At 51.1% G+C, this 22,348-nt stretch overlaps 2 protein-coding genes across 32 annotated transcripts, besides 4 other annotated features; one reads left to right on the top strand and one right to left on the bottom strand.

Annotated features, from left to right (window-relative positions):
* On the bottom strand, nt 53–10,219 carry CCDC142 (coiled-coil domain containing 142). 2 transcript variants are annotated; one of them, NM_032779.4, is made up of 9 exons: nt 9,038–10,219; nt 8,673–8,759; nt 8,444–8,593; nt 8,177–8,286; nt 7,990–8,103; nt 2,833–2,947; nt 2,446–2,623; nt 2,137–2,336; nt 53–2,023 (listed from the first exon to the last, which is right to left on the bottom strand). In NM_032779.4, the coding sequence occupies exons 1-9, from the start codon at nt 10,056–10,058 to the stop codon at nt 1,767–1,769; spliced, it is 2,232 nt and encodes a 743-aa protein (NP_116168.3). In that variant the 5' UTR covers nt 10,059–10,219; the 3' UTR covers nt 53–1,766. The 2 variants fall into 2 exon arrangements, with proteins under 2 accessions (NP_116168.3, NP_001352504.1); NM_001365575.2 differs by having other exon boundaries at nt 8,177–8,307.
* Nucleotides 9,362–9,461: an enhancer, noted in NCBI's record as "active region_16062". NCBI's record gives its function as "activates an Ori minimal core promoter by ATAC-STARR-seq in GM12878 lymphoblastoid cells {active_cell/tissue: GM12878}" and the evidence as "EXISTENCE:reporter gene assay evidence [ECO:0000049][PMID:35858748]".
* Nucleotides 9,532–9,651: an enhancer, noted in NCBI's record as "active region_16063". NCBI's record gives its function as "activates an Ori minimal core promoter by ATAC-STARR-seq in GM12878 lymphoblastoid cells {active_cell/tissue: GM12878}" and the evidence as "EXISTENCE:reporter gene assay evidence [ECO:0000049][PMID:35858748]".
* Nucleotides 9,762–10,301: an enhancer, noted in NCBI's record as "active region_16064". NCBI's record gives its function as "activates an Ori minimal core promoter by ATAC-STARR-seq in GM12878 lymphoblastoid cells {active_cell/tissue: GM12878}" and the evidence as "EXISTENCE:reporter gene assay evidence [ECO:0000049][PMID:35858748]".
* TTC31 (tetratricopeptide repeat domain 31) lies at nt 10,302–21,780 on the top strand. 30 transcript variants are annotated; one of them, NR_164773.1, is made up of 13 exons: nt 10,302–10,356; nt 10,543–10,631; nt 17,246–17,348; nt 17,465–17,694; nt 17,877–17,960; nt 18,349–18,405; nt 18,516–18,596; nt 18,702–18,893; nt 19,225–19,272; nt 19,360–19,450; nt 19,525–19,666; nt 19,867–19,968; nt 20,143–21,780. NR_164773.1 is itself a non-coding variant. In XM_011533035.2 (13 exons), the coding sequence occupies exons 1-13, from the start codon at nt 10,317–10,319 to the stop codon at nt 20,437–20,439; spliced, it is 1,620 nt and encodes a 539-aa protein (XP_011531337.1). In that variant the 5' UTR covers nt 10,302–10,316; the 3' UTR covers nt 20,440–21,780. The 30 variants fall into 30 exon arrangements, 24 of the variants coding, with proteins under 24 accessions (XP_011531337.1, NP_071937.4, NP_001363059.1 ...); XM_011533035.2 differs by having other exon boundaries at nt 19,165–19,276; NM_022492.6 differs by having other exon boundaries at nt 19,225–19,276.
* Nucleotides 10,622–10,731: an enhancer, noted in NCBI's record as "active region_16065". NCBI's record gives its function as "activates an Ori minimal core promoter by ATAC-STARR-seq in GM12878 lymphoblastoid cells {active_cell/tissue: GM12878}" and the evidence as "EXISTENCE:reporter gene assay evidence [ECO:0000049][PMID:35858748]".
* Nucleotides 21,781–22,348: the final 568 nt, after the last annotated feature.

The following is a 22,348-nucleotide window of genomic DNA, read 5'->3' on the forward strand; positions in this document are numbered from 1 at the left end:
CCGCAGCTCTGGGCTTCCTAGCCCAGGCGGAGGAAGGCAGGAAAGAAAGAGGTGGTTTCGGCACAACGCATGGGGGAGCCCAAAGTAGGCTGTCAGCAAATACAGCCTATCATGAATAGTCCTCTCATACGACGGTGAAAACCATAAATAAATGGCGCAAAAACCTCTTTGCACGAAAATACGCCCGTTTTCTGCAGCCTTTCCCCTTCTGTACCCTGCTGGGCCACATCTAGGCTAACTCGATCTTAAATCCTGGCTTCTTCCAAAGAGAGAGCACTAACACAAGCCGGGATGATCCACACCAGAAGGTAAACACCATTCAGGTAACTGAAGATTAAACGTAGTGAGCTCTGAATAGCCAAAGCTTAAACGTGAAAGTACTACAGCCCAATATTAGTAAATGACTGAAAATAGTAATAGGAAGGGCAGTACAGGGTAATACTGTCCTTGGGGCTGATCCAGGTATAGAAATGCCTATTAAACCTCTGTGGTTCTCCATGAATTAGCGTAGCTCCCAGGACTTAAGTTGAAGTGCATTCTAGCCAGTTTTCTTTTTTTGAGACGAAGTTTTGCTCTTGTTGCCCAGGCAGGAGTGCAGTGGCGCGATCTCGGCTCACTGCAATCTCTGCCTCCCGGGTTCAAGCGATTCTCATGCCTCAGCCTCCTGAGTAGCTGGGACTACAGGCGCGTGCCACCACGCCCGGCTAATTTTTTGTATTTTTAGTAGAGGCGGGGTTTCACCGCGTTAGCCAGGATGGTCTTGATCGGACCTCGTGATCCGCCCCTCTAGGCCTCCCAAAGTGCTGGGATTACAGGCGTGAGCAGGCGTGAGCCCCCTCACCTGGCCGAGCACTCAACTCTTTATCCCTGAGATATCTTCAGTGATGGAGAACTAGGCCTGAACCTCCCAAGGGTCTGACCTTCAGGTTCCAGGCTATGGTCTTGCTCTTTACTCTGGATTCCAGGTGCTGGAGTGATCTTGGATTTTTTTTTTTTTTTTTTTTTTTTTTGAGACGAAGTTTTGCCCTTGTTGCCCAGGCTGGAGTGCAATGGCACAATCTCGGCTCTCCGCAACCTTCGCCTCCTAGGTTCAAGCGATTCTCCTGCCTCAGCCTCCTGAGTAGCTGGGATTACAGGCATGCGCCACCACACCTGGCTAATTTTGTATTTTTAGTAGAGACGGGGTTTCTCCATGTTGGTCAGGCTGGTCTGGAACTCCCGACCTCAGGTGATCCGCCTGCCTCAGCCTCCCAAAGTGCTGGGATTATAGGTGTGAGCCACCATGCCCTGCCTAATCTTGGATTTTTTTTTTTTTTTTTTTTGAGACAGAGTCTTGCTCTGTCACCCAGGCTGGAGTGCTGTGGCTGGATCTCAGCTCACTGCAAGCTCCGCCTCCCAGGTTCACACCATTCTCCTGCCTCAGCCTCCCGAGTAGCTGGGACTACAGGCACCCGCCACCACGCCCGGCTAATTTTTTGTATTTTTAGTGGAAACAGGGTTTCACCGTGTTAGCCAGGATGGTCTTGATCTCCTGACCTCATGATCCGCCTGCCTCGGTCTCCCAAAGTGCTGGATTACAGGCGTGAGCCACCTCGCCCAGCCCCTAATCTTGGATTCTTAAGCCCAGGCTCTTTGTAGCTTATTCTCCAGTATGCTTTCCTCCAAGCTTCCAGTTCTGGGCTTCCTTAATATGCAATTCCAAATGTCTGGATTTTCCAGCTAGAGATGGGGAGCTCTTAACTTTCTGGCTCCTGGTCCCAGGCTCCTTAGGATTCAGGACTGGTTCCCAGGCAGGAAAAAAACGGCAGGTGCCAACGGGGTCGCTGGTGTTGCCTGAGGGCAAGCCAGGCCTGCTGATTTCCCACCAGGTAGCCCTCCGGGCTAGGTCCCCTTCCTCCTAGTGTGCTTTGCAGCTGACCTGTCTGGGCTGGAGATGTTCCAGGCTGGAGCGGGGGCTCCAAGCTCTCCAGGCTATTGAGGCAGCTGCTGGGCAATTTCGTGGTCTGGACCTCCTGACAAGCACCTGGTAAGGCAGGAGTGGAAGGTAGGTGGCTGCTGGGGATATACTGAAGCCAGATTAATGGTGAGAATAGGGTTTGGGACACACAAAGCAGTGAGCGAAGGGGAGTAACTCACAGCAACAGGGGGGCCTCCTGTGGACTTGAGACTTGGGCAGGGGCTGCTGCAACAGACACAGCAGGGCCCCATCCAGCTGCTGGAAGATGCTGAGCATGAGCAGGGTCTGGCGGAGATCAGGGGACAGGCTCCACTGCTCCTCTTCCAGCAACTCCCTGACCACTCCAAAGTCTTGTTTGAGCTGCAGCGCTCCCTGCAGGCTGAAGGCAGAGGTACAGTATGGCCACTTGACCCTCCTGCCTCTCCCACTTATCCCCTTCCTTTTCCCAGTTCCATTCACCCCCTGCCACTTCCACCTTTACTCCTGACCTGAACCGAATCCCATGGGTAAGAATGTGGTCAAGCCAGGCACCCACGATGGCCGTCAGAGCCTGACCAAGGGCAGGGGCCTGGGCTTGAGGTGGCAACCCTTGCAATCCTTGCAACACAGGCTCCAGTACGGTGCGGACCACTAAACCAGCATACTCACTAGGAGCACTGGGAGGTTCTGGAATAGAGAAGACAGAATATAAGGCTGTGGAGATCCATTGAACCCCTAAATGGAGTGTTTGGGAGAAGAGGGTAGGATTTCAGGAGGGAAGGGTACAGAAGCTGAGGACAAGGATGGAGACAGTGGAGGGGAACCGGAATTTGGAAGGGCTGAGACACTATTACCCCCTTGGAACTCTGGAAGGAGAAGCTGGGATGAGGAGTTACCAGGACAGAGACGAAGCCGCCAGTACCGACCCCGTGGCATGTAGAGCTTGAAACCTTGCATGGCTTGTTTATGACATTCTTGAGAAAAGACACTTAGTGACTCTTCAGGCAGGAGCTGTAGGGATAGGGAGAAAGTAAAAGGGGCTTGTCAAATTATGATGATCCTCTATATCTAAGGAGCTCTATGTCCAACTTGACATCCATAAAACCCCAGAATTGTTGCATAGTTGTGTATGCCTGGCCATTTTTTGAGGAGCAATGCCATAGTTGTCATTGGGTTTTCCAAGAGGTCTGGACCCAAATTATGAACAATTGCCCTAGGATTACCTTGCTCTCCCCAGCTTGGTTCAAAAGATGGAAAATCCTTGAGGTTAATTTTACTATACAAGAGCTTTAAGGAAAAAGAAAGACATACCCTGCCCCCACCCCCGCAACACACACACACACACACACACACACACACACACACACACACACACACACACACACACAGAGCATATGCCAGAAAGAGGGATTGTATGATCTGCAATGGGCAGAAATTGAGGGAAGAAAGGGGAATTACAACGACCTTTTATTTTTGAGGCAGAGTCTTGCTGTGTCGCCCAGACTGGAGTGCAGTGGCGTGATCTCGGCTCACTGCAACCTCTGCCTCCCGGGTTCAAGTGATTCTCCTGCCTCAGGCTCCCAAGTAGGTGGGACTACAGGAGTGCACCACCACACCCAGCTAATTTTTGTATTTTTAGTAAAGACAAGGTTTTGCCATGTTGGTCAGGCTGGTCTCAAACTCCTGATCTCAGGTGATCGGCCTGCCTCTGCCTGCCAAAGTGCTGGGATTACAGATGTGAGCCACTAAGCCACTACACCCAGCCTACAATGATCTTTTGGTTATCACCTACAAAAGGAAGACAAGAACTGTATGTAAACCAGAAGCAATGACTATTTGAATGTTCTGAGACTCAGGAAGTTTTGGAATGTCCTTACATTGAAAGGCATTATTATATATTATTATTCTTCACAGCCCACTCCAGAGCAATATAACCCATAAAGCAAGAAAAGGCCTATATGCTGGGTTTGTTTCTTTGGTTTGATAGGTTGTTTTTGGAGGGAGAGAACACAGCAATAAAGCTGGTTTCTGCTCTACAGCCCATCTTGAGGGAGAGGAACCCCAGTAAATGTGGTTAATGGCAGCTGCTCTGTAAAGAAATGGTAGATGCCAGGGAGCCTGAAGACAGGATAGACCTGGGGGCGGCCAGACATGGAGTGGAGCCCATATGGCTCCTGGCACATCTGACAACCTGTCTAAATCCAAAATCTTCCTCTCTTCTCCAGTAAATGCAAGCCCCCTTCTCCTCCCTTATTTATGTCAAGGAAATTGCCCTTTTGTCAACGGACTTTTGTTAGGAGCCTCTGTACTCAACACTGAGGGAATACAAGGTGCAGAGTGTGTGACAGTCTCTCCCCCACCCACTGGGATCTTATAGTCCAAACAGGAAGAAAACTCACAATGCCTCTTTTTTTTTTTTTGAGACCAAGTTTCGCTCTTATTGCCCAGGCTGGAGTGCAGTTGCGCAATCTCAGATCACTGCAACCTCTGCCTCCTGGGTTCAACCGATTCTCATGCCTCAGCCTCTGAGCAGCTGGGATTACAGGCACCCGTCACCATGCCTGGCTAATTTTTGTATTTTTAGTAGAGATGGGGTTTTACCATGTTGGCCAGGCTGGTCACAAACTCCTGACCTCAAGTTATCCACCCATCTCGGCCTCCCGAAATGCTGGGATTACACCCTTCTGCTCTTAAAATGTCACCCCCTCACTTATGAGGTAAAGCGCAAATTGTTGGGGCTGGTGTTCATGCCCTCCACAATTTGATGCCAAATTGCTTACTACCCTACCCCACACCCAACCCCAGTGAACATACCCACAAAAGGAACCTCTGCTCTGGTAAGGCCACCTCTCTGCTACCCCCACAAGGATCTACAAACTGCCCACTTCCAGTAACCCCAGCCACTCCTCTGAGGCTTCCCAGCCACCATCTCCAGCCATAGGCCATGTATGGAGCGTTCTTTAACCACATGCCCACTATAGCCTTCCTTCCTCAGGGCTCTATGACCGTCACTGTGTGCAGTACTCATGATGAGCCTGCTCTGGGGCATGTTGAGTTTAAGTAGACAGCAGTAAACTGAGGTAGAAATGCCCAACAGGCAAATGCAGATGTTTAACTAGAACTCTGGGAGCCAGGCTGGGTGTGGAGGCTCATGCCTGTAATCCCAGAACTTTGGGAGGCCAAGGCGGTGGATTGCTTGAGCTCAAGAGTTCAAGAACAGGGCACATGTTCTCAGATCTCCTGAGGGCTATGTCACGAGCCAAACTTCTAATTAAAAAAAAAATATATATATATATAAATAGATATAATATAAATAAAATATATATAGATATAATATAAATAAAATATATATATATACTTTTTTTTTTTTGAGTCTCACTCTGTTGCCCAGGCTGGAATGCAATGGCACGCTCTCGACTCACTGGAACCTCCGCCTCCCGGATTCAAGTGATTCTCCTGCCTCAGCCTCCCGAGTAGCTGGGATTACAGGTGTACACCACAATGTCCAGCTAATTTTTGTATTTTTAGAAGAGACAGGGTTTCACCATGTTGGCCAGGCCGGTCTTGATCTCCTAACCTCAGATGATCCACCTGCCTCGGTTTCCCAAAGTGCTGGGATTACAGGTGTGAGCCACTGCACCTGGACAAAAAATTTTTTTGTTTTCTGTTTTTTTTTTGAGACAGAATTTTTGTTCTTGTTGCCCAGGCTGGAGTGCAATGGCGCTATCTCGGCTCACTGCAACTTCCGCCTCCTAGGTTCAAGCGATTCTCCTGCCTCAGCCTCAGAAGTAGCTAGGATTACAGGCACCTGCCACCATACCGGCTACTTTTTTGTATTTTTAGTAGAGACGGGGTTTCACCACGTTGGGCAGGCTGGTCTTGAACTCCTGACCTCAGGCGATCCACCCACCTTGGCCTCCCAAAAAAGTTTTTTAAAAAGATTTTTAAAAAGGGTTCAAGACCAGCCTGGGCAACATGGCAAAACCTTGTCTCTACAAAAAAAAAAATTTTTTTAAGTAGCTGGGCATTGGCCGGGTGTGGTGGCTCACACCTATAATCCCAGCACTTTGGGAGGCTGAGGTGGGTGGATCACCTGAGGTCAAGGGTTCCAGACCAGCCTGGCCAACATGGTGAAACCCATCTCTACTAAAAATACAAAAACTAGCTGGGCGTGGTGGCAGGCGCCTGTAATCCCAGCCACTCAGGAGGCTGAGGCAGGAGAATCACTTGAACCTGAGAGGTGGAGGTTGCAGTGAGTAGAGATCACGCCACTGCACTCCAGCCTGGGTGACAGAGTGAGACACCTTCTCAAAAAAAAAAAAAAAAAAAGTAGCTGGGCATTGTGGCTTCCACCTGTGGTTCCAGCTACTCAGGAGGCTGAGGTGGGAGGATTGCTTGAGCCCAGGAGGTGGAGGTTGCAGTGAGCCAAGATCACATAACTGCACTCCAGCCTGGGTGACAGTGAGACCCCATCTTAGAAAAAAAAAAAGAACTCTGGGAGCCAGAAAGACTGAACCCGGGAGTTCACAGCAGCAAGACACTGTGGGTAAGCAGGAATACTGAGAGAAAAGCAGAGAGTTAAGGACTGAACTCTACAGCCACACCCCTATTCGGGGCAAAGAGGAGAAAACTGAGCAGGAAAACAAAAAACCAGACATCTTCCACATAGGAATAGATAAATGTGCAAAATGGGGAAGAAAAAGTATAATGGCTTTATTCATAAACATATAAGAAAATGTTAGGAGAAACAGGCAAACATGGATGAAGGTTACTACTGTGAAATAGAAATCAGAGGTGAGTGAGGGCAAACAAAGTGCTGTTTTTTCATTAGTTTTATAAAATAATATTCTATTTCACTTTTTAAACTATAGACATGCACTATTTTATTTTTTGAGACAGGGTCTCTCACTGTATTGCCTAGGCTGGCTGGAATGCAGTGGCTATCACAGCTTACTGCAGCCTTGACCTCCTGGGCTCAAACGATCCTCTTGCCTCAGCCTCCCAAGTAGCTGGGAGTACAGGCGCATGCCACCATGCTCAGCTAAATTTTTTAATTTTTGGAGAGATGGGAGTCTGTGTTGCCTAGGGTGGTCTCGCTATGTTGCCCCTGGTGGTCTCGAACTCCTGGCCTCAAGCAATGCTCTTGCCTTGGCCTCCCAAAGCATTAATAAAAATACAAATTAAACTTTTAAGAGAGGAGAAATGTGCCGATAACTGGTAAGTAAAGAGAAAGATGCAATCATTTATCCTGAATTTTCTCTCTAAAATATACCTAAGAGTAACCAAATCATTAATGAAGGCAAGTTTTTCTTCATAGGAGTAATCCAACTCATAAATGAAGTAGGAATGATGAGAATTGAAATGTTACCACTTTACAACCTCTAATGAAATAATGAATCGAGGCAATGATCCACTGTTGCCATCAAAAACGAGAGTCTGGCATTACTGGGGAGAGGGTAGGGGATACACAGATGAAATTGACCATGAGTTGATAATTGTTAAATGCTTGGTGACAGACATATGGGAGTCCATTATACACCTCTCTCTACATTTGTACATGTTTGAAATTTTCCATAGTAAAATGTTAAAGGGGCCAGGCATGGTGGCGCATGCCTGTAATCCCAGCACTTTGGGAGACCAAGGTGGATGGATCACTTGAGCTCAAGGGTCCGAGACCAGATTGGGCAACATGGTGAAACCCTGTCTCTACTAAAAAAATTCAAAAGTTAGACACGTGTGGTGGCACGAGCTTGTAGTCTCAGCTACTAGGGAGGCTGAGGTGGGAGGACCGTTTAAGCCCAGAAGGTAGAGGCTGCAGTGAGCTGAGATTGTGCCACTGCACTCCAGCCTGGGTGACAAAGTGAGACCCTGTCTCAAAAAAAAAAAAAAAAAAAAGTTAAAGAGAACAAAAAATGAACAGAGCAAAAAAAGATACATTTAGCAGAGACTCCAAGGAGATTCCAAGTTACTGAGATGTTCTACTCTTCCCACCCCCGATACTTGGCACAGAACATAGGGTCTTACACTGCCACTGTTGAGGCCCCTGTTCTCACCTGGATCTGTGCAGTCAGCTTCTGGATCTCCAGGCCCAGCTGCTGCTCCACTTCCAGAGCTAAGCTTTCCTCTGAGGCCAGGCTATACAAAGCTTCTGCCTCATGCAACAGAGGCTTTGGGTGGAAACAGGGAGTGAGGGCTCAGCCTAGCTCAGGCTGCTCCCCTCCCTACTCCCCAGCCACTCACAGGTAAGTCCTTTTGGATCAGGAGCAGGAAGGAAGCTGGGTCCCATGCTGCCAAGTACTGCTGAGCTCTGCCCAGGAACCAGAGCAAGGTGGTCTGAAGGGTACAGAGACCTAGGGCGACAGGCGCAGGATCTGGGGATTTGAGCAGCAGAGTGAGTATCTTAGGGGTCATGGAGTACCTTTGGGAAGAGGCAGATTTCAGAACAGAGTGAAAGAAAAGAGATATCCTCAACTGCTCTGTGTCCCCAGCCCCAGCCCCTCGTCTCACCTGCAGGCTGGCAGAAAATCCGTCGTAACCTGGGCTCTCGAAGGGCATCCAAGAGAGGAGGAAAGAGCTGCTGCAAAAGTTCAGCAGTGCCAGAGGATGTGGGAAGGCTGCTCTGACCCCCAAGAGCTGATCCCAAGGCCTGGCAGAAACCTGAGGATGAGAGAGTATAGTGTGGTGGGGAAGCGGTAACCTGGGACTTATGTCACCCCCAGTGCCCCTTCCTTCTCACCTTGGTCCCAGCTCCAGATAAGCGACTGATGAAGTAGTCTGTGACACAAAGATGCCAGCTCCTTCTCACACTCCTGAGGCAGGGATGCTAGTGGGAGAAATGACTCTGGGGCCTGAAAACAAGGTCTCACTTTCCACAACCCCTGCCCACTCAATGATGAGGCAAGAAGGCATGCTTCCTCCAAGACTCGGGACTGGGGTGGAAAGCAAGACTTTGCCTTGAAAGCTCAGAAGCTATAGTCTGAACCCAGGGGTGTTCTTTCTAAAGGGCCTGCTTTTGCCTTCAGGATGGCAGGTCAGTGAGTTGGCCAAGGGGAAGGAAGAGACCCCAGCCTTCCCAAACGCCCACCCAAGCCCATCACTCACCCTGACCCAGTGCCTGACTCAGCTGTTGCGCTGTTGCCCTGGGGTCCCTCCAGGGTCCCAGATTTAGGTCCAGACTCTGAGCACAGGCTGCCCACAGCAGGGTCCAGTATTGGCTCCACAAGGCCCCAGCCCCTCCGAGCCCTAGTCCACAGCTGGCTGAACCCGCCACGCCCCCGACCAGGCCCAGCAGCCCTGGTAGCAGATCCCCCTCCTCTTGGCACCGCCTGCGGAGCTGGTCCCTCAACGCCGATCCTTGGAGCGCCTCGTCCAGCCGACTTGCCACCTGGCAACCCCGCTCCCCCGTCAAGAGGCGGAGCACACGGGACGTGGGGAAAGGACGTGCGGCCCCTGGGACGTGGCTCAAGGCTTTTCTCTGTAGTGTGTGGTAGGCGGGAAGTGCAAAGAGCAGCTCGGCGAGTTGGGACGACAGGCCCGGGCTGGCGGGCTCCCGGCCGAGAGCGCGAAGCTGCATCTCGATGACAGCCTCCAGGCACTGGGCGGCTAGTCCGATGGGGCGCGCTAGCAGCAGCGGCTCGAGAGTCTCCCCAGGGCCGATTCGCAGAACCGCCCCTTGGGAAGGGTGCAGCTGCAGGTCGCGGCACCACTGGGGCAAGGGGCTAGGGCCGCCGGATGGCGAGCCAGGACTCAGGGTCTTCATGAGTCGCACAGCCGACTGTAGGTGGTAGGCGCAGTCTCGGGCCTGGAGGAGCTGCTCCCGCTCGCGATGCAGCCGCAGCAACACCGCCCGGAGACGCTGCAGCGCGGGAGGGATCGGGCCGCCACCTGCGGGCCCCCGCCTCCAGGCCGCAGCATCAGCCTCGTAGTCCTCGCTCACATCCGCCGGCGTCGGCCACCACGGCGTCCCTCCAGAAGTTCCGCTCGGCCAGCAGTGAACCTCCCAGCGAAGACCGCCCGTTCGACTTCTCTCCCACTGCTCCTCCCCAGTGCCCCCGGGTTGCGCCCTCAGCGGGGGCACGATAACGAGTGGAGGCAGGCTACCTGAGCGAGACGCCTGGGCCATGGGGCGGCGGGTCCAGAACGAACCTAACGATTCCCACTTCCCTGCACGGACCAACGCCCGCCGCAGCTCGGACTTCGCCCCATCGCAAGAGCCGTTTTCTCCAGTCCGGGAGTCGCGGGGACCTTCATGGACTCTCTCGTGCTCCGTAATGGGAGGCTTCTGCCCCTAACAAACATGGCCGCCCACTCTGTCCCACCCCGCCCTTTGGCTGGTATCAAATACTAGACTACCTTTCATTTCCGGGTCACTGTAGATGCGATGGCGCCGATTCCAAAGACTGTGGGGCGGATCAAGCTAGGTGAGCGGTATGACAAGACCAGTGGGGGTCTAGGAGGGCAGAGGCAGCCCCTCTTGGGTCCACCTGTGGTCTGAACGTTTCGAGTAGGATTTTATGCAGAGGGCGGAGAGTCGAGGGTAGAGTGGGGAGGACTCTAGCCCATCTGTCCCGAGCCCGCTGACGAGGCTCCGCCTTCCTTTCCTGTAGACTGCTCTCTACGGCCCAGCTGCCCACTGGAGGTCGCTGCTGCACCCAAACTTTGCAAGGAATTCGGTCCAGAGGATTACGGCGAAGAGGTAAAAGCGACCCTCAGTTTCCCCCAGTCCTGCTCATTTTGGTCACGCCTCTTTGAAGTCAGCTGTGCAGAAACCCGCGACGGATGGGCGCCAGACGGGGCTCTGGAGGCTTTGGGGAGTTGTAGTCTCCGGCCATGCCCTTGAGGATCTTAGGCAAGTGAGGGGCAGGGGATCAGGAGGATGATCCTGATGTAACAGATGCTCGAAGTGGGTAGAATTGAGCAGACAAGGGTCTCTGAGTTGAGGATTAGGGAGTGGGTACGAGTTCCTTGGGAAAAGATGGAGGCCGGGCGCGGTGGCTTGTGCCTGTAATCTCAACACTTTGGGAGGCTGAGACGGGAGGATTGCTTGAGCCCAGGAGTTAGAGACCAGCCTGGGCAACATAGTGAGACCCCATCTCTACAAAAATGTTTTTAAAAAATTTAGCCCGCGTGGTGGGTGGGGGATCTCTTGAGCGCGGGAGGTCAAGGTTTCAGTGAACCATGATCGTGCCACTGCACTCCAGCCTGGGGAACGGTGAGACTCTGTCTAAAAAAAAAAAAAAGCTGGGCCCAGTGGCTCACACCTGTAATCTCAGCACTTTGGGAGGCCTAGGGGGGCGGATCACTTGAGGTCGGGAGTTCGAGACCAGCCTGGCCAACATGGTGAAACGCCATCTCTACCAAAAATACGAAAAACTAGCTGGGCGTGGTGGTGTGCGCCTGTAATCCCAGTCACTGGGGTTACTGAGGCAGGAGAATCGCTTGAACCCGGGAGGCAGAGGTTGCAGTGAGCCAAGATCACACCACTGCACTCCAGCCTGGGCAACAGAGGGAGACTCCATTTCAAAAAAAAAATGAAAAAATATCTTTTTATAGATGGAGGGGACAGTGTGAGCAAAGACAGTAAAACAAGGAAAAGTTGAGAGAACTTTACCAAAGTGAGACCAGAGTAGAGAATCTGGTTGGAACAGTAAAAGATGGGGTGGGAGAGAAGGCAGCAGATGGCTTGAAAGGCTTTGACTTAGCACAGGGGTTTGGATGTTCTCAAGTAGGCAACAGAGTTTTTTTGTTTTTTGTTTTTTTTTAAGATGGAGTCTCACTCTGTCGCCCAGGCTGGAGTGCAGTGGTGTGATCTTGGCTCACTGCAACCTCCGCCTCTCTGGTTCAAGCAATTCTTCTGCCTCAGCCTCCTGAGTAGCTGGGACTACAGGCACATGCCACCAGTCCCAGCTAATTTTTGTATTTTTAGTAGAGACTGGGTTTCACCATGTTGGCCAGCATGGTCTCGATCTCTTGACCTCGTGATCCGCCCGCCTTGGCCTCCCAGAGTGCTGGGATTGCAGGTGTGAGCCACCATGCCCGGTAGACAGCAGGGTTTTCGAAGGAGGGACAGGATCAGATTTGGAAGCATTGAGGCGCTATACTCCCTAGAATCTCAAACTCAAACCCAAAAGTTAATTTAATTAACTTTTGTTAAATTAATTTATCATGTTTGTAAATTGGTTGCTTTTCTTCTAATCCCAATTTTGGTTAATAACACAAACTTTCATCTAGTTGTTTAATCTGGAAATCTGATAATCATTTTATATCCCTTTCTTTTACCTCAAACATTTAGTTAGTCACTAAAATTTACTTTTTTTTTTTTTTTTTTTTGAGACAGAGTCTCACACTGTCGCCCAGGCTGGAGTGCAGTGGCGCCATCTCTACTCACTGCAACCTCCTCCTCCCGGATTCAGGCAATTTTCCTGCCACAGCCTACTGAGTAGCTAAGATGGCAGACACCCACCACCACGCCCAGCTAATTTTTGTATTTTTAGTAGAGAGGGGTTTCACCATATTGGCCAGGCTGGTCTCAAACTCCTCACCTTGTGATCTACCCATCTCGGCCTCCCAAAGTGCTGGGGTTACAGGCATGAGCCACCATGCCGGCCACTAAAATCTACTTCTAAATGTCTCTTGACAGAAGCCCCTCATTTCCGTTCCTGGTCTTGCTGCCATTCCCTTATATCAAGACTCCTTGTATCTGGCCTGAACTAAACATTACATCCATAGCCTCATCTTCCCCTGAGCAGTATTTCTTTTTTTTTTTTTTTTTTGAGATGGAGTTTTGCTCCCGTTGCCCAGGCTGGAGTGCAATGGTGTGATCTTGGCTCACCGCAACCTCTGCTTCCCGGGTTCAAGTGATTCTCCTGCCTCAGCCTCCCGAGTAGCTGGGACTACAGGCGCCTGCCACCACGCCTGGCTAATTTTTTGTATTTTTAGTAGAGACAGGGTTTCACCATGTTAGCCAGGCTGGTCTCGATCTCCTGACCTTGTGATCCGCCCACCTCAGCCTCCCAAAATGCTGGGATTACAGGCGTGAGCCACCGCACCTGGCCCAATTTTGTATTTTTGTACAGATTGCGTTTCTCCATGTTGGTCATGCTGATCTCAAACTCCAGACCTCAGGTGATCCACCCTCCTTGACTTCCCAAAGTGCTGGGATTACAGGCTTGAGCCACCATGCCTGGCCGTCTCAGCACTATTTCATTTGATTGTTTCATTCCCCAGATCAAGTCCACTGCTATCACTGACAAGATAAAGTCTACACTCACGGCCAGGCGCAGTGGCTCACACCTGTAATCCTAGCACTTTGGGAGGTTGATGCAGGCGGATCATGAGGTCAGGAGATGGAGACCATCCTGGCCAACATGGTGAAACACCGTCTCTACTAAAATACAAAAAATTAGCTGGGCATGGTGGTGGGCGCCTATAGTCCCAGCTACTTGGGAGGCTGAGGCAAGGGAATTGCTTGAACCCAGGAGATGGAGGTTGCAGTGAGCCAAGGTTGCGCCATTGCATTCCAGCCTGGAGACAGGGTTAGACTCCGTCTCAAAAAAAAAAAAAGTTCACACTCACTGTGTCACACATGTTTCTTCACACACAGTTCCTGGCTCTGTCTCTATTGGAATAGCCTCCTCACCAATCTCTGTTTACTCAGCACACACACAATACCACCTATGTACTAGATACTGTTGTAGGTACTGAGAAACAGCAGTAAATCAAACAGACCAAAATCTTTCTGTTCAACAAATTAGGAGCATCTAATGAGGGCAACCAGTGACCAAATAAATAAACAACATAGTATGTCAAACATGAGAAGTACAAAGAAAAAGCAAGAAGGAGGATAGGGAGTGCTGAGTGGAGTTGGGAAGTTTCTCCTTCTAAAAGTAGTGGTCAGGCCAAGTGTGGTGGCTCACGCCTGTAATCCCAGCACTTTGGGAGGCTGAGGCACATGGATCACCTGAGGTCAGGAGTTTGAGACCAGCCTGACCAACATGAAGAAACCCCGTTTCTACTAAAAGATACAAAATTAGCTGGGCATGGTGGTGCATGCCTGTAATCCCAGCTACTCTGGAGGCCGAGGCAGGAGAATCACTTGAACCCTGGAGGCGGAGGTTGCGGTGAGCCAAGTTCATGCCATTGCACTCCAGCCTGGGCAACAAGGGCGAAACTCCACCTCAAAAAAAAAAAAAAAGGAGTGTTCAGAGAAGGCCTCTCTGAGAAAGTGACATTTACATAGAGATCTAAAAAGGACGAAGGAGTGAGCTGTTCACTGGGGAAAAAGCATTCTAGGCAAAGTAAAGTGCAAAGCCCTAAGATGGGAGCACAGTTGGTATGTTGTGGGAACTTCCAAGGACACTGCTGTGGCTGGAGGAGGGTAACAAGATAGGAGAAGATTCACAATGATATTGGGGGACCAGATCATATGTAGTGGCCATGTAGTGAATTCAGAGAGCAGCACAGACTGTGGTTTGGGGACAGGTAGTAGAAGGTCAAGGAAGTACCTGTTTGTTTGTTTTTTTGAGACGTAGTCTCGCTCTGTTGCCCAGGCTGGAGTGCAGTGGCGAGATCTCGGCTCACCACAACCTCCACTTCCCAGTTTCAAGCAATTCTCCTACCTCAGCCTCCCAAGTAGCTGGGATTACAGATGCGTGCCACCACACCTGCTTAATTTTTGTATTTTTAGTAGAGACGGGTTTCACCATGTTGGTCAGGCTGGTCTCGAACTCCTGACCTCAAGTGATCTGCTTGCCTTGGCCTCCCGAATTGCTGGGATTACAGGTGTGAGCCACTGCACCCGGCTTTTTATTTTTTTAAATTTATTTTTATTTTTTATTTTTAATGATGACTACACTGGTTTGAGGAGGAAGAGAGAAGAAATACAGTATATATTTGAGTGGCACATCCTGAGGAGGCTGCCTGACATGGGGCAGAGAGCATGCTTTATTTATTTATTATTAATTAATTAATTTATTTATTTTTATGAGACAGAGTCTCACTCTGTCACCCAGGCTGGTGTGCAGTGGTGTGATCTTGGCTACTGCAACATCTGCCTCCCAAGTTCGAGCAATTCTCGTGCCTCAGCCTCCTGAGTAGCTGGGACTACAGGCATGTGCCACCATGCCCAGCTAATTTTTGTATCTTTAGTATAGATGGGGTTTCGCCATGTTGGCCAGGCTGGTCTAAAACTCTTGGCCTCAAGTGACCCACCCGTCTTGGCCTCCCAAAGTGCTGGGATTACAGGCGTGAGCCACCATGCCCAGCCATATTTATTTATCGAGACAGGGTCTCCCTCTGTTACCCAGGCTTCAGTGCAGTGGCATGATCATAGTTCACTGCAGCCTTGAACTCCTGGGCTCAAACAGTCCTTCGATTTCAGCCTCCCGAGTAGCTGGGACTATAGGCGTCCGCACCACACCTGGCTCATTATTTATGCTTATGTTGCAGTTAGGAAGGTGACACAAACCCACCAGGAAATTGAATTTTAAGTATAAGACTGATGAAAGTGCCTAGCAGTATTGGAGATGCTGTTAAGCCAGGACTATCTTCTGAGGGAAGCCTTGGATCTAAAATTGTTTAGAAAATTGAATATACCTTAGTCATCTGAAGTCCTGCCTACAGATTTTTTTTTAGCACGCTGGAGTTTCTAAGTTTGTGGCTTCTAACTCAATAAGTCCAAAAGATCATTGGCTTCTAAGCGTCTCAGTCAGTCCTGCTCTGTTTAGGCCTGATTAGGCAAATAGGAATGTGATCATTCCTGTCTTTGAAGCTTATACTCCCTGAGGAAATGACTCCCATCAGGACCACAGAATGTGTGGGCCAGGCCTTAAAGAGTCTTGCCTTATTTTGTGAATGAGGGAGAGGTCCAAAGAAGTTAAATGACTTCTCCAGAATCAAACAGGCAGGTAGTGTCAGAGTGAAAATTTGGACAAGCTGGACATGATGGTGCAAACCTGAAGTCCCATCTACTCAGGAGGCTCAGGCAGGAGGATCGCTTGAGCCTAGGTGTTTGGGTCTAGCCTGGGCAACACAGCAAGACCCTGTCTCAGAAACAAACAAAAAATAGTCGGCCGGGCACAGGGGCTCACACCTGCAATCCCAGCACTTTGGGAGGCTGAGGCGGGTGGATCACTTGAGGTCAAGAGTTCAAGACAACTTGGCCAACATGGTGAAACCGCCTCTCTACTAAAAATACAAATGGTATTGTGGCGTGTGCCTGTAATCCCAGCTACTTGGGAGGGTGAGGCAGGAGAATCGCTTGAACACGGGAGGCAGAGGTTGCAGTGAGTTGAGATCATACCACTGCACTCCAGCCTGGGTGACAGAGCAAGAATCCACCTCAAAAGAAAAAATAACCTCAGATGCAAGTGGCTCCACTCCAGCACAATGCCCTTTGGAATTCCATGCTGCCTGGCCAATGAGGAGAGCAATAGAAAGCAATCAATAACAAGTTTCTAAATTGTGTAACACAGATAATGTGGTTGCAGGTTAGTTGGAGGAGGCAGAGATAATTGGAGATGAAAGGGTCTGGGAAGGCTTTGAAGGGAGATAGAATTTGAACTGGACCTTGAAGGTGAGGCAAGATGTGAGAAAGAAGCTCAAGAGTTAGGAGGGATTGGAGAGCAGCTGGGGGAAGGCCCCAAGGCTGGAGGGAGCCTGGTGGTGGGAGGGAGGACAGCAGTGAAGCAGGGGAGGATTAAAAGGAGGGCTGGAAAGGTCAGCCTGGGAGCCTTTTGGAAGGCTCTGAATCGTAGGCTGAGGAATTAGGTTCAACTCTGCCTATGGCCTTGGCAGTGGGGGATTATTGGATGTCCCTGAGTAGGGAAGTAATTTCTTAGAGCTTAGTTTTGTGGAGAAACAGATGAGGTGCAGAGGAGCGGCCAGCCAGGAGCTGCTGTACTTGTTTAGGTGTGAGCTAGCCTCAGGGTGGGTTATGTGGAGCTGTTCATACTGCAGATATGACAGGGGGCCTAGCTGGAAGAGCAGGTGGGAGGGCTTCATTCCAGGGGCCTCAGTGTGGCTAACTCAGGTTGAGGAGAGAAGATCCTGGATGGTAGAGGAGGCCAGGTTGAATACCATACTCAACCCTTGGGAAGGCAGGAAAGCAGCGAGGGGAGGTGATTCACTACAATAGCTGGGGGCAGCAGATTTTGCGGTGCTGAGGAGGGAGAGGTCAGAGCCAGTGAGAGTCTCTGGGCTGGATAGCTGGTTGGTGGCTGCCATGGTGGAGAGATCAAGCCAGCGAAGCCCTTGCTCTCTCCAGGAACTGCCCCCAACACCAGCCTCCCCTCCCCTCCCCTCCCCTCCCAGGACATAGTGGATTTTCTTCGACGGCTTGTGGAGAGTGATCCCCAGGGCCTGCACCGGATCCATGTGGATGGGAGCAGCGGGCGGCTGCAGCTGTGGCACCATGGTGGGGAGTGCAGGGACCGGGCCCAGGGATCGAGGCTGGTACCCTGGGAGGGCTGACCCTCAGATGCACCCCGCTCTCATGTCCTTTCTTTCCTGTCTCTTTCTCCCTCCTGACAGATTACCTCCTGGGCCACTTGGATGATGAAGGGAAATCAACTGGACAGAGTGACAGGGGCAAGGGGGCTGAGGGACTGGGCACCTACTGTGGTCTCCGCAAGTCCTTCCTGTATCCTCCCCAAGAGTCTGAGCCCTGCCCTCAAAGCCCCTCTGCCTCTGCCACCTTCCCCAGTGTCTCAGACAGCCTGCTTCAGGTGGCCATGCCCCAGAAGCTCCTGGTGACAGAAGAGGTGAGATTCTCAGGAGAGGGCTTTGCCGTCCCCCAGGGTTCTTTCAATCCCTGTATCCCCATCCCTATATTCTCCCCTAATTGGTACCTTTCAAGATCCTTCTATACTGCCTGCCCCCTTTCATGTTTGCTCTCCATTTCCCTGTTTCTCTCTTTTTCTGTCACCTGCCCTTCGTCCTTCAGGAAGCCAATCGCCTGGCTGAGGAGCTGGTGGCTGAGGAGGAGCGCATGAAACAGAAAGCAGAGAAAAAGCGACTCAAGAAGAAGGTGGCTAGAGCATGGCTGGAGGGTGCAGGGGAGCCAAAGGGATTTGGGAGAGGGAAAGAGGAAACTTTGTGGGAACAGGAGAGAGCTCAAGATGGCCTGCAGTGGACTCTCTTGCCAGGAGGACACAAGGGGCCCAGGGACTGGGGGGTCTCTCACAGGCCATCTGGTGCAGTGGTTCTGGAATCCTACTGTGCTGCCTAGGTAGGAATCTGCCTCCTTACATGAGGCCTCTTGCTGGTGCCTCTCTTGTCTGCTTTTTCACCTGCAAAATGAGGATAATAATGATGCCTGTCTCATAGAGCTGCAAAGATGGAATGCGAAATCTTAGCCCAGCACACGACATACAGTAAGTGTTCAAAATACATCATTGTTACCATTACTATTGCAGCGTCAAAAGGAACGGAAGCGACAGGAGCGTTTGGAGCAGTACTGTGGGGAGCCCAAGGTGAGTATCTAGGGCAGGTACTAAGAGCACCAAGTGCCAGGAAGGTGAGGGCCAAGAAAGCAGGCAGCTCAAGGTGATCCCAACTCTGTACCTGTCTATCTTTCTTCCAGGCCAGCACTACCTCAGATGGAGATGAGAGCCCCCCATCCAGCCCTGGAAACCCAGTTCAGGGACAGTGTGGTGAAGAAGAGGTGAGAGCCCCTTTTTTCCCTTCTTGGTCTCTGCTCATTTTCCTCCTCCTCCTCCAGAATGTACTTCATCCCCACCCCCTCCCTAACTTTCCATTTTGTTCACAGGACTCACTGGATCTATCTAGCACTTTTGTGTCTCTGGCTTTGCGCAAGGTTGGGGATTGGCCCCTCAGTGCCCGCAGAGAGAAGGGACTGAACCAGGAGCCCCAAGGCAGGGGTCTGGCCCTCCAGAAGATGGGTCAAGAGGAAGAGAGCCCTCCAAGAGAGGAGAGGCCCCAGCAGAGTCCAAAGGTACAGGTGAGGTGGCTGAAGAACCTTATTCAGCTGGAACCGTGGAAGGGGCACAAGGAGCTGCTGGGGAGGCACAGGGTCTAAGGATTGACACAGGGTCCAGTGGGAGTTCTCTGGCTCTAGGGTCAAGAGACCTACAGTCAGGCCCCATCACTGTCACCATGACCCCGGGTGGTTTCCTGTCTAGGAAGATAGGGCTGATACCATCTTGTAGGGCTGTCATGAGGATTACATGAGTTGGGTAATGCTAATTGCAGTGTTACCTGTTTAAACAAAGGAGAAGGATTTGGGGAGGCTGAGACCTCAAGACCTGCTTGACTTTGCACCCTATCCCCAGGCATCTCCGGGACTGCTGGCAGCTGCCTTACAACAGAGCCAGGAACTGGCAAGTGAGATCCTTTCTCTCTCCGTCCTCACCCCACCCTCCCTGGGGTAGCCCCATCTGAACCTTCTCACCCTCTTTCCTTTCCAGAGTTGGGTACCAGCTTTGCTCAAAATGGTTTCTACCATGAGGCCGTGGTCCTCTTCACCCAGGCCTTGAAGCTCAACCCCCAGGACCACCGGTAGGTGGGGGCTTGGCCAGGGCAGGGCAGAGTGTTGAGGACTCAGACCTTTGGCCACCTTCTGTCTTTATCAGGTTATTTGGAAATCGTTCCTTCTGCCATGAGCGGTTGGGTCAGCCAGCGTGGGCCCTGGCTGATGCCCAGGTGGCCCTTACCCTACGGCCTGGCTGGCCCCGGGGCCTCTTCCGCCTGGGCAAGGCCTTGATGGGACTACAGGTAATAGGTCTGGGGCTGGAAACAGGAGAGATTTGAGTGGGATGGAGTGGGGAGAGGGTCTATGTTGACTTTCTAGATAAGCTTCTAGTACCAAAGTGTCACAATGGTTGTGGTACTAGGAGCAGGGGCCAGTTTTAGAAAGGGTACTTTTAAGCACCTTGACACCTAATCTTTTCTTTCTGATCCCTCTGGGACCAAAGCGCTTCAGAGAGGCAGCTGCTGTGTTTCAGGAAACTCTGAGAGGTGGGTCCCAGCCTGACGCAGCCCGAGAGCTCCGCTCTTGCCTTCTCCACCTCACACTGGTAAGGGGGCCAGGCACACTGTCATGCTGAGGCGGGTATCAGGGAGAATTGGCTGGGACTGCAATACCAAGCCTCAGGTGGCTAAGGAGGGGGCGGGGAAGGATGGGTGGAATGAGAGGCATGGGCTCTCCTGCTTAAAAGAAGGATCTGGTGCCCTTCTCTCTCCCTTCTCAGCAGGGTCAGCGAGGAGGAATCTGTGCACCACCTCTGTCACCTGGGGCCCTCCAGCCACTTCCCCATGCTGAGCTGGCACCCTCAGGCCTACCTTCCCTCAGGTGCCCTCGAAGCACTGCTTTGAGGTCCCCTGGCCTGTCTCCACTCTTGCATTATCCTTCATGTCACCGAAGCCACCCCAACCAGCCCCTCTCCCAGACTCAGAGTAGAAGGCCCCATCCTCTCAAGCCCCAGGACCCTTCAAAGGGCTGGGACATCCTGGGACTTGGGCTCCAGCATCTGTCTCAGGCCAGATGAGGGGGCACCGGTCCCTCATAGGGCAGGGCCATGTATATATCCCTTGGTGGGGGACATAGTGTGGTGACAGTTCACTGCATATTTTGAGACCTTATTCTCTAGATCCATAGTTAATGATGCCCTGGCAGTCATTCCTCTTGCCATGGGGAAGCTTCTGATGAGAGAAAGGAGCCCCACATCCACTGAAACATCCTTTGGTTCTCAAGCTTCTTCTGGAGGCAGTAAGGAAAAATAAAACCCACCAAGGCTCAAGAAGGGAACTATAGAAAAGTTCAGGTTTTTAGGCTATAGCAGAGACAGTGAGAAAGCATCTGGGCCTTTCTCTTCCTCTTGGTCCAGGGGACCTCATTCACCAACTAGAGCTTGGTGTACAGGAACGGGGTCACAGTGCTGAGGGGGCTTGAGTCCCACCTTTCAGCTTGATGGATGCTCACCTCTTCTCAGCCCCAGCTCGTGCCCTGTTTTTCTAGCCATAGCCCCCAGATTACTCACAGCTCCTCATGCCATTTCCTGTCCAGATTGCTATGTATGACTCTGACCTCTCTTGTCCAGTGGTCTGGTGCTCACCTCCTCTCACTGCTAGAATATTCACCAAGGGTTTGCATTTGGGAAGTCCCTTACCAGCTCCTGCTTAGAGCTGGTAGGGCCATACATGTCCACACTCCCAACTGGTGGCTCTCCCGCTGAATGGGGCCTCAGCAGGTGCCCAAGCTGCTACAACCTTGGCCACTCTGTTTCTCCACCCCAGCACTGGGCATGGTAATTAGCCTTTCCCCATGTTAATTTATTCAGTTTTTTCAAGGGTCAACTGAATTCCCCACTTCCTGGGTAAGAAGCATGATCTCCTTTTAATTTCACGTCTAAGATCCTGGCAGCTTCCCCTAGCTGGTTCCTCTGTAGTCCTGCTGGGACTGTCAGCTCATTTAAATGTGGGTCTGCAGAAGGCTTTAGGTCTCCCCCAACCCCCTTACCTTTCACAGAGGAACCTTTCATCAGGATAAATGATTATTGCTGCCCTGTGGGTCTTGCTCAATACTGTTCATACCTGGAGAGAGAAGGTATTGAAACATCTCCTTTATGTGTGACTTTCCCAAATTTTTAAAAATTGTTTATGGTTTAGGCCCCTTAAATACTGTGTAGCAGGATGAAGTCTACCATTACCAGCTGGGTCACCTTGGATGGGTCTGTCAACATCTAAGCCTCAGTTCCCTCACCTGTAAAAATGAGGGTAGTCCCTACCTCATAAGGGATATTGTGAGGATGGAAAGCGAAAGTGTGAGAAAATACCTCCCAAGTGCCTGGTACATAGTGGGTGCTAAATAAACCACTTTTTGTCTGCAACTGTCCTACATAGTCATGCTTCCCACAATAGGAAGAGAGGAGTGTGGGTGAATTGGTGCTGAAATTCACAAAATCCAGAGTTCTGGGACTGGATTCTCAAAGTGTGCTTTCTAGGCTAGCAGCATCAGCATCATCCAGGAACTTACTAGAAATGCAATTTCTCAGGCTGGGCACGGTGGCTCACGCCTGTAATCTCAGCACTTTGGGAGGCCAAGATGGGTGGATCACCTGAGGTCAGGAGTTTGAGACCAGCCTGACCAACATGGAGAAACGCCTCCTCTGCTAAAAATACAAAATTAGCCAGGTGTGGTGTCACATGCCTGTAATCCCAGCTACTCGGGAGGCTGAGGCAGGAGAATCGCTTGAACCTGGGAGGCGGAGGTTGCGGTGAGCCGAGATTGCGCCATTGCATTCCAGCCTGGGTAACGAGCAAAACTCTCAAAAAAAAAAAAAAAAGAAATGCAATTTCTCAGGCCCCCTGCAGTGACCTACATCAGAAACCATGGGAGCAGGGCCCAGCAATTTGTGTTTCAATAAACCTACCAAGTGATCCTGATACACACTGTTC

Source organism: Homo sapiens, chromosome 2 (genome assembly GCF_000001405.40).
Source record: "Homo sapiens chromosome 2, GRCh38.p14 Primary Assembly".
Taxonomy (NCBI): Eukaryota; Metazoa; Chordata; class Mammalia; order Primates; family Hominidae; genus Homo; species Homo sapiens.

Coding starts and splice junctions, on each gene's coding strand:
- CCDC142 (NM_001365575.2), bottom strand. CDS start 10,058: ATGGCCCAGGCGTCTCGCTCAGGTAGCCTGCCTCCACTCGTTATCGTG. Junction 2,948..7,989: donor AGCTGACTGCACAGATCCAG/GTGAGAACAGGG, acceptor CTATCCCTACAG/CTCCTGCCTGAAGAGTCACT. Junction 2,024..2,136: donor CAGGAGGCCCCCCTGTTGCT/GTGAGTTACTCC, acceptor CTGCCTTACCAG/GTGCTTGTCAGGAGGTCCAG.
- TTC31 (XM_011533035.2), top strand. CDS start 10,317: ATGGCGCCGATTCCAAAGACTGTGGGGCGGATCAAGCTAG. Junction 10,357..10,542: donor TGTGGGGCGGATCAAGCTAG/GTGAGCGGTATG, acceptor CCTTTCCTGTAG/ACTGCTCTCTACGGCCCAGC. Junction 18,597..18,701: donor GACAGTGTGGTGAAGAAGAG/GTGAGAGCCCCT, acceptor TTTTGTTCACAG/GACTCACTGGATCTATCTAG.